The 18011-nt window shown below is 40.0% G+C and overlaps 1 long non-coding RNA gene across 2 annotated transcripts in view; it reads left to right on the top strand.

Moving 5' to 3' along the window:
• The window catches only part of LOC105377209 (uncharacterized), a 70327-nt gene that overhangs the window by 35393 nt on the left and 16923 nt on the right, over positions 1-18011 (top strand). Inside the window, exon 1 of one of the 2 annotated variants that reach the window (XR_938386.3) lies at positions 13809-14037. The exons of the other annotated variant lie outside the window; for it this stretch is intronic. This is a non-coding gene — a long non-coding RNA (uncharacterized LOC105377209). Of the gene's footprint in view, positions 1-13808; positions 14038-18011 lie in introns of those variants that run through there. 2 annotated transcript variants of the gene reach the window in all.

Genomic DNA, 18011 nt, shown 5'->3' with positions numbered 1-18011 from the left:
TGCCTCATAGAAGAGAAAGTATGCAGTATTTGTCCTTCTGCAACTGATTTATTTCACTTAGCTAGTATCTTCTAGGTCCATCGATGTTGTCATGAAAGATAGAATTTCCTTTTTTATTTTAATTTTTTTTATTTTTAATTTTTGTGGGCATACATGAGATGTTTTGGTACAGGAGTGTGCTGTACAATGATCACATCATAGAGAATGGGATATGCATCCCCTCAAGCATTTATCCTTTGTGTTATAATAAAAGAAACCAGTTACACTCTTTTAGTTATTTTTAAATGTACAATTAAATTATTATTGACTACAGCCACCCTGTTGTACTATCAAATAGTAGGTGTTATAAATTCTTTTTATTTTTTTGTACCCAATAATGATCCTTACCTTCTCACCAGCCCCCACTACCCTTCCCAGCCTCTGGTACCAGGCTTCTATTCTCTGTGTCCATGAGTTCAACTGTTTGGATTTTTAGATCCTACAAACAAGTGAGAACATGCAGTGTTTGTCTTTCTGTGCTTAGCTTATTTCACTTAATATAATCATCTCCAGTTCCATCCATGTTGTTGCAAATGACAGGATCTCATTCTTTTTATGGCTGAATAGTACTCCATTGTGTATATGTACCATGTTTTTTATCCATTCATCTCTTGATGGACACTTAGGTTGCTTCCAAATCTTAGCTATTGTGAATAGTGCCACAACAAATATGTGAGTGCAGATATCTCTCCAATATACTGATTTTCTTTCTTTGGGGGTATATATCCAGCACTGAAATTGCTGGATCATATGGTAGCTCAAGTTTTAGTTTTCTGAGGAACCTCCAAACTGTTCTCCATAGTGGCCGTACCAATGTATACTCCCACCAACAGTGTACAAGAGTTCCCTTTACTCCACATCCTCGCCAGCATTTGTTATTGCCTGTCTTTTGGATAGAAGCCATTTAAACTGGGGTGAGATGATATCTCATTGTAGTTTTGTTTTGCATTTCTATGATGATCAGTGATGTTGAGCACCTTTTCATATGACTTTTTGTCATTTGTATGTCTTCTTTTGAGAAATGTCTATTCAAATCTTTTGTCCATTTTTTGATCGGATCATTAGATGTTTTATAGAGTTGTTTGACCTCCTTCTATATTCTGGTTATTAATCCCTTGTCAGATGGGTAGTTTGCAAATATTTTCTCCCATTCTATGGGTTGTCTTTTCACTTTCTTGATTGTTTCCTTTGATGTGCAGAAGAAGCCTTTTAACTTGATGTGATCTCATTTGTCCATTTTTGCTTTGGTTGCCTGTGCTTGTGGGGTATTGCTCAAGAAATCTTTGCCCAGTCTGATGTCCTGGAAATTTTCCCCAATGTTTTTGTGCAGTAGTCCCATAGTTTGAGGTCTTAGATTTAAGTCATTAATACATTTTGATTTGATTTTTCTATATGGTGACAGATAGGGGCCTAGTTTCATTCTTCTGCATATGGATATCCAGTTTTCTCAGCAACATTTATAGAACAGACTGTCTTTTTCCTACTGTAGGTACTTGGCACCTTTGTCGAAAATGAGTTCAGTGTAGGTGTGTGGATTTGTTTATGGGTTCTCTATTCTGTTCTATTGGTCTCTGTGTCTCTTTTGATGCCAGTACCATGCTGTTTTGGTTATTATATCTCAGTAGTATAAACTTTAAGTTCATAATGTTTTATTTTTATTTGTTAGCCAAATAGTGCTGGCTATTCTTGGTCTTTTTTGGTTTCATATAAATTTTAGAATTGTTTTTTCTATTTCTGTGAAGAATGTCATTGGTATTTTGATAGGGATTGCATTGAATCTGTAAATTGCTTTGGGTGGTATGAAGATTTTAACAGTGTTGATTCTTCCAATCTGTGAACATGGAATATTTTTCCATTTTTTCGTGTCCTCTTCAATTTATTTCATCAGTGTTTTATAGTTTTCTTTATAGAGATCTTTCACTTCTTCGGTTAATTCCTGGGTATTTAATTTTATGTGTGGCTATTGTAAATGGGATTACTTTTTTATTTCTTTTTCAGATTGCTCACTGTTGGCATATACAAATGCTACTGATTTTCATATGTCGATTTTGTATCCTGCAACTTTACTGAGTTTGTTTATTAGCTCAAATAGTTTTCTCACGGAGTCTTTAGATTTTTTCATTTATAAGATCATATTTTCTGCAAACAAGAATAATTAAACTTCTTGCTTTCCAACTTGGATGTCCATTATGTCTTTCTCTTGTCTGATTGCTCTAGCTAGGACATCTAGTACCATGCTGAATAGCAGCAGTGAAAGTGGGCTTCCTTGTTGTGTTTCAGATCTTAGAAGAAATGATTTCAGTTTTTCCCCATTCAGTGTGATGCTAGTTGTGGGTCTGTCATAAATGACTTTAATTATGTTGAGGTATATTCCTTCTTTTTTTTTATTATACTTTAAGTTTTAGGGTACATGTGCACATTGTGCAGGTTAGTTACATATGTATACATGTGCCATGCTGGTGCGCTGCACCCACTAACTCGTCATCTAGCATTAGGTATATCTCCCAATGCTATCCCTCCCCCCTTCCCCCACCCCACAACAGTCCCAGAGTGTGATATTCCCCTTCCTGTGTCCATGTGATCTCATCGTTCAATTCCCACCTATGAGTGAGAATATGCGGTGTTTGGTTTTTTGTTCTTGCGATACTTTACTGAGAATGATGATTTCCAATTTCATCCATGTCCCTACAAAGGACATGAACTCATCATTTTTTATGGCTGCATAGTATTCCATGGTGTATATGTGCCACATTTTCTTAATCCAGTCTATCATTGTTGGACATTTGGCTTGGTTCCAAGTCTTTGCTATTGTGAATAATGCCACAATAAACATACGTGTGCATGTGTCTTTATAGCAGCATGATTTATAGTACTTTGGGTATATACCCAGTAATGGGATGGCTGGGTCAAATGGTATTTCTAGTTCTAGATCCCTGAGGAATCGCCACACTGACTTCCACAATGGTTGAACTAGTTTACAGTCCCACCAACAGTGTAAAAGTGTTCCTATTTCTCCACATCCTCTCCAGCACCTGTTGTTTCCTGACTTTGTAATGATTGCCATTCTAACTGGTGTGAGATGGTATCTCATTGTGGTTTTGATTTGCATTTCTCTGATGGCTAGTGATGATCAGCATTTTTTCATGTGTTTTTTGGCTGCATAAATGTCTTCTTTTGAGAAGTGTCTGTTCATGTCCTTCGCCCACTTTTTGATGGAGTTGTTTGTTTTTTTCTTGTAAATTTGTTTGAGTTCATTGTAGATTCTGGATATTAGCCCTTTGTCAGATGAGTAGGTTGTGAAAATTTTCTCCCATTTTGTAGGTTGCCTGTTCACTCTGATGGTAGTTTCTTTTGCTGTGAAGAAGCTCTTTAGTTTAATTAGATCCCATTTGTCAATTTTGTCTTTTGTTGCCATTGCTTTTGGTGTTTTGGACATGAAGGCCTTGCCCATGCCTATGTCCTGAATGGCAATGCCTAGGTTTTCTTCTAGGGTTTTTATGGTTTTAGGTCTAACGTTTAAATCTTTAATCCATCTTGAATTGATTTTTGTATAAGGTGTAAGGAAGAGATCCAGTTTCAGCTTTCTACATATGGCTAGCCAGTTTTCCCAGCACCATTTATTAAATAGGGAATCCTTTCCCCATTGCTTGTTTTTCTCAGGTTTGTCAAAGATCAGATAGTTGTAGGTATGTGGCATTATTTCTGAGGGCTCTGTTCTGTTCCATTGATCTATATCTCTGTTTTGATACCAGTACCATGCTGTTTTGGTTACTGTAGCCTTGTAGTATAGTTTGAAGTCAGGTAGTGTGATGCCTCCAGCTTTGTTCTTTTGGCTTAGGATTGACTTGGCAATGCGGCCTCTTTTTTGTTCCATATGAACTTGAAAGTAGTTTTTTCCAATTCTGTGAAGAAAGCCATTGGTAGCTTGATGGGGATGGCATTGGATCTATAAATTACCTTGGGCAGTATGGCCATTTTCACGATAGTGATTCTTCCTACCCATGAGCATGGAATGTTCTTACATTTGTTTGTATCCTCTTTTATTTCCTTGAGCAGTGGTTTGTAGTTCTCCTTGAAGAGGTCCTTCACATCCCTTGTAAGTTGGATTCCTAGGTATTTTATTCTCTTTGAAGCAATTGTGAATGGGAGTTCCCTCATGATTTGGCTGTCTGTTTGTCTGTTGTTGGTGTATAAGAATGCTTGTGATTTTTGTACATTGATTTTGTATCCTGAGACTTTGCTGAATTTGCTTATCAGCTTAAGGAGATTTTGGGCTGAGACAATGGGGTTTTCTAGATATACAATCATGTCGTCTGCAAACAGGAACAATTTGACTTCCTCTTTTCCTAGTTGAATACCCTTTATTTCCTTCTCCTGCCTAATTGCCCTGGCCAGAACTTCCAACACTATGTTGAATAGGAGCGGTGAGAGAGGGCATCCCTGTCTTGTGCCAGTTTTCAAAGGGAATGCTTCCAGTTTTTGCCCATTCAGTATGATATTGGCTGTGGGTTTGTCATAGATAGCTCTTATTATTTTGAAATACGTCCCATCAATACCTAATTTATTGAGAGTTTTTAGCATGAAGGGTTGTTGAATTTTGTCAAAGGCTTTTTCTGCATCTATTGAGATAATCATGTGGTTTTTGTCTTTGGCTCTGTTTATAGGCTGGATTACATTTACTGATTTGCGTATATTGAACCAGCCTTGCATCCCAGGGATGAAGCCCACTTGATCATGGTGGATAAGCTTTTTGATGTGCTGCTGGATTCGGTTTGCCAGTATTTTATTGAGGATTTTTGCATCAATGTTCATCAAGGATATTGGTCTAAAATTCTCTTTTTTGGTTATGTCTCTGCCCGGCTTTGGTATCAGAATGATGCTGGCCTCATAAAATGAGTTAGGGAGGATTCCCTCTTTTTCTATTGATTGGAATAGTTTCAGAAGGAATGGTACCAGTTCCTCCTTGTACCTCTGGTACAATTCGGCTGTGAATCCATCTGGTCCTGGACTCTTTTTGGTTGGTAAACTATTGATTATTGCCACAATTTCAGATCCTGTTATTGGTCTATTCAGAGATTCAACTTCTTCCTGGTTTAGTCTTGGGAGAGTGTATGTGTCGAGGAATTTATCCATTTCTTCTAGATTTTCTAGTTTATTTGCGTAGAGGTGTTTGTAGTATTCTCTGATGGTAGTTTGTATTTCTGTGGGATCGGTGGTGATATCCTCTTTATCATTTTTTATTGTGTCTATTTGATTCTTCTCTCTTTTTTTCTTTATTAGCCTTGCTAGCTGTCTATGAATTTTGTAGATCCTTTCAAAAAACCAGCTCCTGGATTCATTGATTTTTTGAAGGGTTTTTTGTGTCTCTATTTCCTTCAGTTCTGCTCTGATTTTAGTTATTTCTTGCCTTCTGCTAGCTTTTGAATGTGTTTGCTCTTGCTTTTCTAGTTCTTTTAATTGTGATGTTAGGGTGTCAATTTTGGATCTTTCCTGCTTTCTGTTGTGGGCATTTACTGCTATAAATTTCCCTCTACACACTGCTTTGAATGCCTCCCAGAGATTCTGGTATGTTGTGTCTTTGTTCTCTTTGGTTTCAAAGAACATCTTTATTTCTGCCTTCATTTCGTTATGTACCCAGTAGTCATTCAGGAGCAGGTTGTTCAGTGTCCATGTAGCTGAGTGGCTTTGAGTGAGATTCTTAATCCTGAGTTCTAGTTTGATTGCACTGTGGTCTGAGAGATAGTTTGTTATAATTTCTGTTCTTTTACATTTGCTGAGGAGAGCTTTACTTCCAACTATGTGGTCAATTTTGGAATAGGTGTGGTGTGGTGCTGAAAAAAATGTATATTCTGTTGATTTGGGGTGGAGAGTTCTGTAGATGTCTATTAGGTCTGCTTGGTGCAGAGCTGAGTTCAATTCCTGGGTATCCTTGCTGACTTTCTGTCTCGTTGATCTGTCTAATGTTGACAGTGGGGTGTTAAAGTCTCCCATTATTAATGTGTGGGAGTCTAAGTCTCTTTGTAGGTCACTCAGGACTTGCTTTATGAATCTGGGTGCTCCTGTTTTGGGTGCATATATATTTAGGATAGTTAGCTCTTCTTGTTGAATTGATCCCTTTACCATTATGTAATGGCCTTCTTTGTCTCTTTTGATCTTTGTTGGTTTAAAGTGTGTTTTATCAGAGACTAGGATTGCAACCCCTGCCTTTTTTTGTTTTCCATTTGCTTGGTAGATCTTCCTCCATCCTTTTATTTTGAGCCTATGTGTGTCTCTGCACATGAGATGGGTTTCCTGAATACAGCACACTGATGGGTCTTGACTCTTTATCCAATTTGCCAGTCTGTGTCTTTTAATTGGAGCATTTAGTCCATTTACATTTAAAGTTAATATTGTTATGTGTGAATTTGATCCTGTCATTATGATGTTAGCTGGTGATTTTGCTCGTTAGTTGATGCAGTTTCTTCCTAGTCTCGATGGTCTTTACATTTTGGCATGATTTTGCAGCGGCTGGTACTGGTTGTTCCTTTCCATGTTTAGCACTTCCTTCAGGAGCTCTTTTAGGGCAGGCCTGGTGGTGACAAAATCTCTCAGCATTTGCTTGTCTGTAAAGTATTTTATTTCTCCTTCACTTATGAAGCTTAGTTTGGCTGGATATGAAATTCTGGGTTGAAAATTCTTTTCTTTAAGAATGTTGAATATTGGCCCCCACTCTCTTCTGGCTTGTAGGGTTCCTGCCGAGAGATCCGCTGTTAGTCTGATGGGCTTCCCTTTGAGGGTAACCCGACCTTTCTCTCTGGCTGCCCTTAACATTTTTTCCTTCATTTCAACTTTGGTGAATCTGACAATTATGTGTCTTGGAGTTGCTCTTCTCGAGGAGTATCTTTGTGGCGTTCTCTGTATTTCCTGAATCTGAACGTTGGCCTGCCTTGCTAGATTGGGGAAGTTCTCCTGGATAATATCCTGCAGAGTGTTTTCCAACTTGGTTCCATTCTCCCCATCACTTTCAGGAACACCAATCAGATGTAGATTTTGTCTTTTCACATAGTCCCATATTTCTTGGAGGCTTTGTTCATTTCTTTTTATTCTCTTTTCTCTAAACTTCCCTTCTCACTTCATTTCATTCCTTTCATCTTCCATTGCTGATACCCTTTCTTCCAGTTGATCGCATCGGCTCCTGAGGGTTCTGCATTCTTCACGTAGTTCTCGGGCCTTGGTTTTCAGCTCCATCAGCTCCTTTAAGCACTTCTCTGTATTGGTTATTCTAGTTATACATTCTTCTAAATTTTTTTCAAAGTTTTCAACTTCTTTGCTTTGGTTTGAATGTCCTCCCGTAGCTCAGAGTAATTTGTTCGTCTGAAGCCTTCTTCTCTCAGCTCATCAAAGTCATTCTCCATCCTGCTTTGTTCCGTTGCTGGTGAGGAACTGCGTTCCTTTGGAGGAGCAGAGGCGCTCTGCGTTTTAGAGTTTCCAGTTTTTCTGTTCTGTTTTTTCCCCATCTTTGTGGTTTTATCTACTTTTGGTCTTTGATGATGGTGATGTACAGATGGGTTTTTGGTGTGGATGTCCTTTCTGTTTGTTAGTTTTCCTTCTAACAAACAGACAGGACCCTCAGCTGCAGGTCTGTTGGAATACCCTGCTGTATGAGGCGTCAGTGTGCCCCTGCTGGGGGGTGCCTCCCAGTTAGGCTGCTCAGGGGTCAGGGGTCAGGGACCCACTTGAGGAGGCCGTCTGCCAGTTCTCAGATCTCCAGCTGCATGCTGGGAGAACCACTGCTCTCTTCAAAGCTGTCAGACAGGGACATTTAAGTCTGCAGAGGGTACTGCTGTCTTTTTGTTTGTCTGTGCTGTGCCCCCAGAGGTGGAGCCTACAGAGGCAGGCAGGCCTCCTTGAGCTGTGGTGGGCTCCACCCAGTTCGAGCTTCCCGGCTGCTTTGTTTACCTAAGCAAGCCTGGGCAATGGCGGGCGCCCCTCCCCCAGCCTCGCTGCCGCCTTGCAGTTTGATCTCAGACTGCTGTGCTAGCAATCAGCGAGATTCCGTGGGCGTAGGACCCTCCGAGCCAGGTGTGGGATATAGTCTCATGGTGCGCCGTTTTTTAAGCCGGTCTGAAAAGCGCAATATTCGGGTGGGAGTGACCCGATTTTCCAGGTGGGTCCATCACCCCTTTCTTTGACTCGGAAAGGGAACTCCCTGACCCTTTGCGCTTCCCAGGTGAGGCAATGCCTCGCCCTGCTTCGGCTCGCGCACGGTGCGCGCACCCACTGGCCTGCGCCCACTGTCTGGCACTCCCTAGTGAGATGAACCCGGTACCTCAGATGGAAATGCAGAAATCACCCGTCTTCTGCGTCGCTTACGCTGGGAGCTGTAGACTGGAGCTGTTCCTATTCAGCCATCTTCACGTTTGCCGAGGTATATTCCTTCTATCCCCAGTTTTTGAGGGTTTTTATCATGAAGGGATGTTGGATATTATCAAATGCTTTATATAGAAATGATCCATTGAAATGGTTATATCATTTTTATCCTTCATTCTGTTGATAGGATGTATCATATTGATTGATTGGCATATGTTGAATCATCCTTGCATTCCAGGGAGAAATCCCAGTTGGTCGTGATGACTGATCTTTCTAATGTATTATTGAATTCAGTTAGCTAGTATTTTGTTGAGGATTTTTGCATTAATATTCCTAAGAGATATTGGCCTGTAGCTTTCTTTTTTTGATGCCTGGTTGTGGTATCAGGGTAATACTGGCCTCGTAGAATGAGTTTGGAAGTAGTCTCTCTTCCTCTATTTTTCGGAGTAGTATTGAGTAGGATTAGTATTAGCTCATCTTTAAATATTTGGTAGAATTCAGCAGGGAAGCCATTGGGTCCTGGGCTTTTCTTTACTGGCAGACTTTATTATGGCCTCAATTTTGTTACTTGTTATTGGTCTGTTCAGGTTTTGGGTTTCTTTCAGGTTCAATGTTGGTGGGTGTATGTGTCTAGGAATTTGCCCATTTCTTCTAGATTTTCCAGTTTATTGGCATTTAGTTGCTCATATTAGTCACTAATAATCCTTTGAATTTCTGCAGTATCAGCTTTAATGTCTCTTTTTTCATGTCTGATTTTATTTATTTGGATCTTCTCTCTTAGTCTGGCTAGAGGTTGGTCAATTTTGTTTAAGTTTTCAAAAAAGTAACTTTTTTAGTTCATTAATCTTCTGCCTTCTTTCTTCAACATTATTTCTGCTCTGATATTTATTATTCCTTTTCTTCTACTAATGTTGGGGTTTGATTTGCTCTTGCAAACTATTAGAGCCATTTGATTTACAATAAAGATTAAATCTGATGTTTCTTTCTTGGTTCTCTGACTGGAAGATCTGTCCAGTGCTGAAAATGGGGTGTTGAAGTTTCCAGCTATCATTGTATTGGGGCCTGTCTCTTTCACTCTAATAATATTTGCTTTATATATTTGGGTGCTCCAGTGTTGGGTGCATATATACTTAAAATTGTTATATCCTCTTGCTAAGTTGAACCCTTCAGCATTATACAGTGACCTGTTTCTTTTCTTATGGTTTTGGTCTTGACATCTATTTTGTCTGATGTAAGTACAGTGACTCCTGCTGCTTTTTGGTTTCCATTGCTATGGACTACCTTTTTCCATCCTTTTATTTTCAGTCTTTGTGTGTCTTTATAGGTGAAGTGTGTTTCTTGTAGGCAACAGACTGATGGGTATTGTTTTTTATCCATTCAGCTAGTCTATGTCTTGTGATTGGAGAGTTTAGTCCATTTTCATTCAATATTGATATGGCTTGGATGTGTCCACACCCAAATTTCACCTTGAATTGTATTATAGTTCCCATAATCCCCACGTCATGGGAGGGACCTGGTGGGACGTAATTGAATCTTGGGGGCGGTTACCACATGCTGTTCTCGTGATAGTGAGTGAGTTCTCACAAGATCTGATGATTTTGGTCAGAGAGACCCTAACCCAGCAGCACTAGAGGAATTAAAGACACACACACAGAAATATAGAGGTGTGAAGTGTGAAATCAGGGTTCTCACAGCCTTCAGAGCTGAGAGCCCCGAACAGAGATTTACCCACGTATTTATTAACAGCAAACCAGTCATTAGCATTGTTTCCATAGATGTTAAAATAACTAAAAGTATCCCTTATGGGAAACGAAGGGATGGGCCGAATTAAAGGAATAGGTTGGGATAGTTAACTGCAGCAGGAGCATGTCCTTAAGGCACAGATCGCTCATGCTATTGTTTGTGGCTTAAGAATGCCTTTAAGCTGTTTTCCACCCTGGGTGGGCCAGTTCTTCCTTGCCCTCATTCCCGTAAACCCACAACCTTCCAGCTTGGGCATTAGGGCCATTATGAACATGTCACAGTACTGCAGAGATTCTGTTTATGGCCAGTTTTGGGGCCAGTTTATGGCCAGATTTTGGGGGGCTTGCTCCCAAAACTTCTCCTTCCTGCTGCCATGTGTAAAAGGATGTGTTTGCTTCCCCTTCTGCTATGGTCACAAGTTTCCTGAGGCCTCCCCAGCCCTGTGGAACTGTGAGTCAATTAAACTTCTTTTCTTTATAAATTACCCAGTCTCAGACAGTTCTTTAAAGCAACATGAGAATGAAGTAATACAAATATTACTGATAAGTAATAACTTATTCCTGCCCTTTTGTTATTTGTTTTCTGGTGTTTTGTGGTCTTTTCTTCCTTCTTTCTTTCCTTCCTGTCTTCCTCAAGTGAGGGTGATTTTCACTGGTGATATATGTCGGTTTCTTGATTTTTTTGTGTGTGTCCCTTGTGTATGTTTTTGGTTTGAGGTTACCATGAGGCTTGCAATTTCTATCTTATAACCAATTGTTTTAAGCTGATAACAACACTGTTTGCATAAATAAGCAAACATGCAAAAAGAAAGCTAATAAAAATGCTATACCTTAACTTTGTCCCCCTACTTATTAATTTTTTCTTTTTTCTCTTATATCTTATTGTACTGTTCATGTCGTGAAAAACATTGTAATTATTATTTTTGATTGGCTCATCATTTAGCCTTTCTACTTAGGGAAAGAGTAGTTTACACACTGCAGTTACAGTGTTGTAATATTCTGTGTTTTTCTGTGTATTTACTATTACCTGTGAGTTTTGTATCTTTAGGTGATTACTTGATGCTCATTATTGTCCTTTCCTTCCAGTTGAAGTACCTCTTTTAGCATTTCTTGTGGGACAGGTCTGGTGTTCATGAAATCTCTCAGCTTTTGTTTGTCTGGTAATGTCTTTATTTTTCTTTCATGTTTGAAGGATTTTTTTTTTTTTTTTGCCAGATATACTATTCTAGGGTAAGCGTTTCTTTCCTTCAGCACTTTAAATATGCCATGTGACTCTCTCCTGGCCTGTAAAGTTTCTACTGAAAAGCCAGCTACCAGATGTATTGGAATTCTATTATATGTTATTTGTTTCTTGTCTCTTGCTGCTTTTAGAATCCTTTCTTTATCCTTGATCTTTGGGAGTTTGATTATTAAATGTCTTGAGCTAGTCTTCTTTGGGTTAAATCTGCTTGGTGTCCTATAATTTTCTAGTACTTGCATATTGATATCTTCCTCTAGGTTTGGGAAGTTCTCTGTTATGTTCCCTTTGAATAAACTTTCTACCCCTATCTCTTTCTCTACCTTCTTTTTAAGGCTAATAACTCTTAGCTTTGCTTTCATGAGGCTATTTTCTAGATCTTTTAGGTGTGCTTCATTGTTTGTTTTTCTTTTTCCTTTTGTCTCTTCTGTGTATTTTCAAATAGCTTGTCTTCAAGCTCACTAATTCTTTGTTCTGCTTGATCAATTCTGGTATTAAAAGATGCTGATCTATTCTTCAGTATGCCAATTGCATTTTTCAACTCCAGAATTTCTGCTCAATTCATCTTAATTATTTCAATATCTTTGTTAAGTTTATCTAATAAAATTCTGAATTCCTTCTCAGTGTTACTCTTGAATTTCTTTGAGCTTCCTCAAAACAGCTATACTGAATTATCTGTCTGAAAGGTCACATATCTCTGTTTCTCCAGGATTGGTCTCTGGTGCCTTATTTAGTTCACTTGGTGAGGTAATGTTTTCCCAGATGATGTTGATGTTTGTAGATGTTTGTCAGTGTCTGTGCATTGGTATTTATTGTAGTCTTCATTGTCTGGGCTTGTTTGTACCTGTCCTCCTTAGTAAGGCTTTCCAGCTATTCAAAAGGAGTTGGTGTTGTGATTTAAGCTGTATTTGCTTTAGGGGGCACCCCAAGCCCATAATGCTATCATTCTTGCAGATGTGCAGAGGTACCACCCTGATGGTCTAGGACAGATTTCGGGAGAATTCTCTGAAATACCAGGCAGAGACTCTTATTTTCTTCCCTTATTTTCTCCCAAACAAATGGAGTCTCTCTCTGTGTTCCAAGCCACCTAAAGCTGGTGGTAGAGTGACACAAGATGCCCTGTGGCCACCACCACTGGGACTGCACTGGGTCAGACCTGATGCCTGAACAACACTGGGTTTTGAACAAGGCCTGATGTAACCACTCCCTGGCTACTGCCTATGTTCACTCAAAGCCCTGGGATTCCACAATCAGCAGGGGGCAAAGCCAGCCAGACCTCTGTCCTTCCCTTCAAGGCAGTGAGGTCCCCCAGGCCCCAAGTGGGTCCAGAGATACCGTCCGGGAATTAGGGGTTAGAGTAAAAATCCTTAGAAATCTACCTGGTGTTCTATTGTACTGTGGCTGAGCTGGCAATCAGACCACAAGATGCATCCCTTCTCACTCTTCCCTCCTCTTTCCAAATGCAGAGGAGCCTCACCCTATAGCCAATACCACCACAGGCCACAGGGAGTGCTGCCAGACTATCACTGATGTTCCTGTAAGGCCCAGGGGCTCCTAAGTCAGCTTGTGGTGAATGCTGCCTGGCCTGGAACTCACCTTTCAGGGCAATGGGCTCCCATTTGCCCCAGGGCAGGTCCAGAAATGCCATCCAAGAGTCAAGTCCTAGAATCAGGAACTCCAAGAGCTTGCTTGGTCCTCAACTCCCCTGTGGCCAAGCTGGTACCTAAGGTGCAAGACAAAGTCCCTTTTACTTTTCCCTCTGCTTTTCACAGGCAGAAGGAGTTTTGCTCTCTAGCCACCACAGCTAAGAATGTGCTAAGTCTCTCCTGAATCCAGAAAGTCTCAGAGACTCTCCCAAGGCCCTCAACGTAGTACCTGGGTATCACTTCTGGTTTTTAAGGGCCCAAGCACACTTCAGTTAGCAGGTGATAAAAGATGCCAGGACTGGATCCTTCCCTTCAAGACAGTGGGTTCCCTTCTGGCCCAGGGAGTGTCTAGACATGTATGGGAGCTAGTGCCAAGAATGGGGGCCTTATGGCTCTGACTGGTGCCCTATCCTGCTGTGGCTGAGCTGGTATCCAACATGTAAGACAAAGTCCTCCCCAGTCTTCCCTCTCCTCTCCTCAAGTGGAAGGAAGGGGTCTCTTTTGGAGCTGCAAGCTGTGCAACCTGGGGTTCAGGGAGGGTGATGCCAGCACTCCCTTAGCCACACCAGCTGGTGTCTCAGTAGGTCACGTGCCCTCCCAGTCCACTGTCTCTGGGTCCAGTTCAGCACTAGGACTTGCCTAAGAGTTGCAGTTCTTGTGGCCTAGACTGCCTTCCAAGTTTACTTAGAGACCCAGAGCATGTTACTCCTCAGTGGCGAGGTTTGTGGGAACTCAAGTTCTGACTGCTGGCATTGGCAATTCCCCTCTGGCTAGGCTGGTTTAAATGCTCCCTTTGTGGGTAGGCATCAGCTGAGTTGATGGCTGTGTTTTCCTTTCTGCTCTAACAGGACAGCATTCAGTTCAATGCCTTGCAGTTGCTGTGCTCTCCTTCCACCAGCGTGCAAAAGTGCTCTCCACACCACACCACTGCTGTTGGGAGGTGTGGGATGGGTCATGTCAGCAATTCAAGACAGTCCCTTTTACATCTTAAGTGCATCTTTCAGTGATACAAAGTGAAAACCAGGTACTGTGATTTTTGGTTCTCATGAACATATTTTTGTGTGTAGATAAATTGATGTCCTTGCGGAGTAGGGATGGGGGGTCGATCGGAGGAGCCTTCTATTCTGCCATCTTGCTCTACCTCCTCCACAGGAAGTCTTCCTTCTTAAAGTCTGAATAATATCCCATTGTGTGTCACCATATTTTCTTGATCCATTCATCTGTCAATTGACATTTGGGTTTTTTCCATCACTTGATTATTGTAAATAATGCTGAAGCAAACATAGAGTGCAGATATCCCTTTGAGATCCTGTATTCGTCTTTTTAATATATCTAGAAGTGGGATTGCTGGATCATATGGCAATTTTTTCGTGGAACCCTGTAATGTTTTTGATAATGACTGCATCACGTTGTATACCTACCATATTTTAAAAGGGTTTCAATTTCTCGGCAATATTGTCAATACATATTGCCCTTAGTGTTTTCTGTTGTTACAACTATTCTAACAGGCACGAGGTGATATCTCCTTCTAGTTTTGATTTGCATTTTCCTTATGCTTAGTGATATTGAGCATCTTTTCATATACATGTTGGCCATTTGTTTGTATTCTTTAGAGAAATGTCCATTCAAGTCTTTTGCCATTTTTAAATTTTTAATACATGTTTTGCTATTGACTTTTAGGAGTTTCTATACATATTGGAAATGTATAGAACACAAGATGTCTTTCCATTCATCTGTGTCTTCTTTAATTTATTTCATCAATGTTCTGTAATTTTCAGTGTACAGGTCTTAAACTTCTTCAGTTGGCTTTATTCCTAAGTATTTTATTATTTAATTATTTTTGTTACTGTTGTGAATGGGTTGTTTTCTTAACTTCATTTTTGGATAGTTCACTGTTTGCGTGTGGAAATGTGACTAATTTTTGTATGTTGATTTTATATCCTGCAATTACACCGAATTGGTTTATGAATTCTAACGTTACTTTTGGTTGAGTCTTTATGGTTTTCTTTGTTTATGATGATGTCAAAACATCATCGTTTTACAAACATTGTTTAAACAAAACGTTTTTATGATGATACTGAAAACAGAGATAATTTTACTTTTTCCTTTCCAATTTGGAAGCATTTTATTTCTTTTTTGTATCTCGTTGTTCTGGCTAAAACTCCAAGACTTCCAGTACTCTATTGAATAGAATTGGTGAGAGTGGGCATATTTGCCTAGTACCTGAACTTGGAGGGACAGATTTTAGGTTTTCCCTATTGATTATAAAGTTTGCTGTGGGATTTTCATACATGGCCTTTATTGTGTTGAGGTAAGTTCCTTCTACATCTATCTTGTTGAGAGTTTTAATCATGGACAGATTAATCAATCGATGTTGAAATTTGCCAAATGCTTTTTGTGCATCTATCAAGGTAATCATGTGGGGTATATTTATGTTCATTTTGTTAATGTGATGTATCACACTGATTGATTTGAGCACGAAGAATCATTCTTGTATCCCAGAGATAAATCCCACTTGGTTATGACGTATGATACATTTAACGTGCTGTTGAATTCAATTTGCTAATATTTCATTGAGGATTTCTGCATCTATGTTTGTCAGGGATATAGGTCAGCAGTCGTATTTTCTTTTGGTATCTTTAGTGATCAGGGTGATGCTAACTTTATAAGATGAGTTTGCCAGTATTCCATCTTCTATTTTTTGGAAGAGTTTGAGAAGGATTGTTAGCACTTTTTCTTTGAATGTTTGTTAGAAGTCACCCATGAATCCATCTGCTTCTGGGGTTTTATTTGCTGGGCTATTTTTAATTAATAATGCAATACCCTTATAGTTTTGGTCTGTTCAGGATTTCTACTTCGCTTTATTCAGTTTTGGTAGGTTTTATGTTTCTAAGAATGTATCCATTGTAGGTTATCTGATTTGTTGGTGTATATACATTGATAATCTTCCCTTAGGATATTCTTTGTTTCTGAGGCATCCATTGAAATATCTTCTCTTTCAAACCTGATTTTATTTATTAGTGGCTTCTCTCTTTTTTCTTAGTAGGTCTAGCTGTAGGCTTATCAATTTTGTTAATCTTTTCAAGAAGGAAACTCCTAATTTTGGTGATTTTGTTTACCATTTCTCTATTTGACTTGTTATTTATTTGGCATATTTCTGCTCTAGTCTATATTATATTTTATTATTTCCTTTTGCTAACTTTGGACTTCGTTTTTACTTTTTATTCTAGTTCCTTCACGTGTAAAGTTAAGTTGTTTATTTGTCATTTTTCTACTTTTTAATGTAGGCATTTATTACTATAAACTTTCCTCTAAGGATTGCTATTGCATTTATTTGTTAAAGACCATGAAGAAAGGCAGGTTTAAAGGTCTGAAGGGGATAAAAGACATTGACAGTGGAGATGAGGAAGTGGTGACAACCAGTTTAGACAAGATATCAGAAAAGTTTTGCTGTGAAGGGCAGCAAATATATGGAACAATAAGTAGTAGGGAAGTGTGAACAAGGGAAGGTATTTAAGATAGAGGATGGTGGAGTATGCTGATGTTAAGTATCAGTGGAGCAGAAGAAATTGAAGATGCAGAGAAACAATGGTCATCTTTAGAAATAAAACATTTCAAACAGTGAGAGGTAAAGATGAGATCAACCAGAAAGGCTAGCTTTGTTTAATTAAAAAAAAAAGTCACCCCGCCAGCCCCACACTTCATGCTATTGGTTAAAGACATGCTGATAATCTGTATCCCCAGGGATGGCCAAATTGAGAATGATGGATTGGCAGGACAGAGATGTCCAGAGGATGAGGAATTGAACTTTGAAGACTCTGAGACTCAGACTGAGTAATGGAGGTTAACCTACGCTGACAAATTCAGATTTTGCAAAGTGAATTGGTTAGGGATTATTGTGTGACAGTCATCGTTCCTTAGCTTTTGTGTGAGTATCCCTATGTGTACATATGTTCATAGAGAGGTGGAGATGTGGACAGATTCCACTGATGAGACATAAAGAAATCCCTACAGTGAAGCAGATTAATGAAGGGGACTTTCCCCTTTACAGGGTGAGAAAAGGGCAGTGCTCAAAACAGGAAGAAAAGCCATGAACAGGGATTCACCCAAAATGAAGTGTCCCTAGAGAAACTTACCTTTTCTGTGGGAGGCAGGAGATGGGTGGTTCTTTTTGGACTCCCGGGGCAATGATATTTAGCCATTGCTCACTAGTGGTTTGTTCCACTATCATTTCATATAGAAACTATTGACTTTTCATTGAAGTCTGTAAGCGGCATAGAGTCTACAGTCTTGTAAGTGGTGTTTTTTGAGGACTTAAGAGCAAAGCAGTCAAGCGAAGCATTACCTTCCTCACATAAGCATTTCCCATTGGCCCTTCTCTAAGGGAAACTGGTACTAGTCATCCAGACAGAGACCAGCACCCAAGTGGATCTGGGATCCCCTGAGAGGGGTGTGAAACACAGAGGAGTCACTGGCAGGTGGGTACCAAGGAGAGCATATGAGACAAACCCCCAGACCAAAAGGAGACTGGGCATCGCCTACTGTCCATGGAGGTCAGGAAGATGGGCAGACCTTCATGTGGTTCCTTCTGGTGGAGGGCATGGCTATGGGTGTGGGTTGCTCCACTGCAGTGAAGATGAGGGATATGGTTTGGACCTGTGTCTCTGCCAAAATCTCATGTCCAGTTGTAATCCCCAATGTTGGAGGTTGGGCCTGATAGGAGGTGATTGGATGATGGGGGTGGTTTCTAATGGTTTAGCATCATTTCCCTAGTGCTGTTATCAGGATAGAGCTCTCATGAGAGCTGGTTGTTTAACAGTGTGTAGCATCTCCTCCTGACTCTCTTCTTTCTGCCCCACCCATGTGAAGTTCTCCCTCCCCCTGTGAAGTGCTCCTTCTTCCTTTGCCTTCCGCTAGGATTGCAAGTTTCCTGAGGCCTTGCCAGAAGCCGAGCAGATGCCAAAATCAGGCTTCCTGTACAGCTTGCAGAACTGTGAG

This window comes from Homo sapiens, chromosome X, assembly GCF_000001405.40.
Source record: "Homo sapiens chromosome X, GRCh38.p14 Primary Assembly".
Lineage (NCBI taxonomy): Eukaryota > Metazoa > Chordata > Mammalia > Primates > Hominidae > Homo > Homo sapiens.
This window is presented reverse-complemented; position numbering and strand designations above follow the sequence as displayed.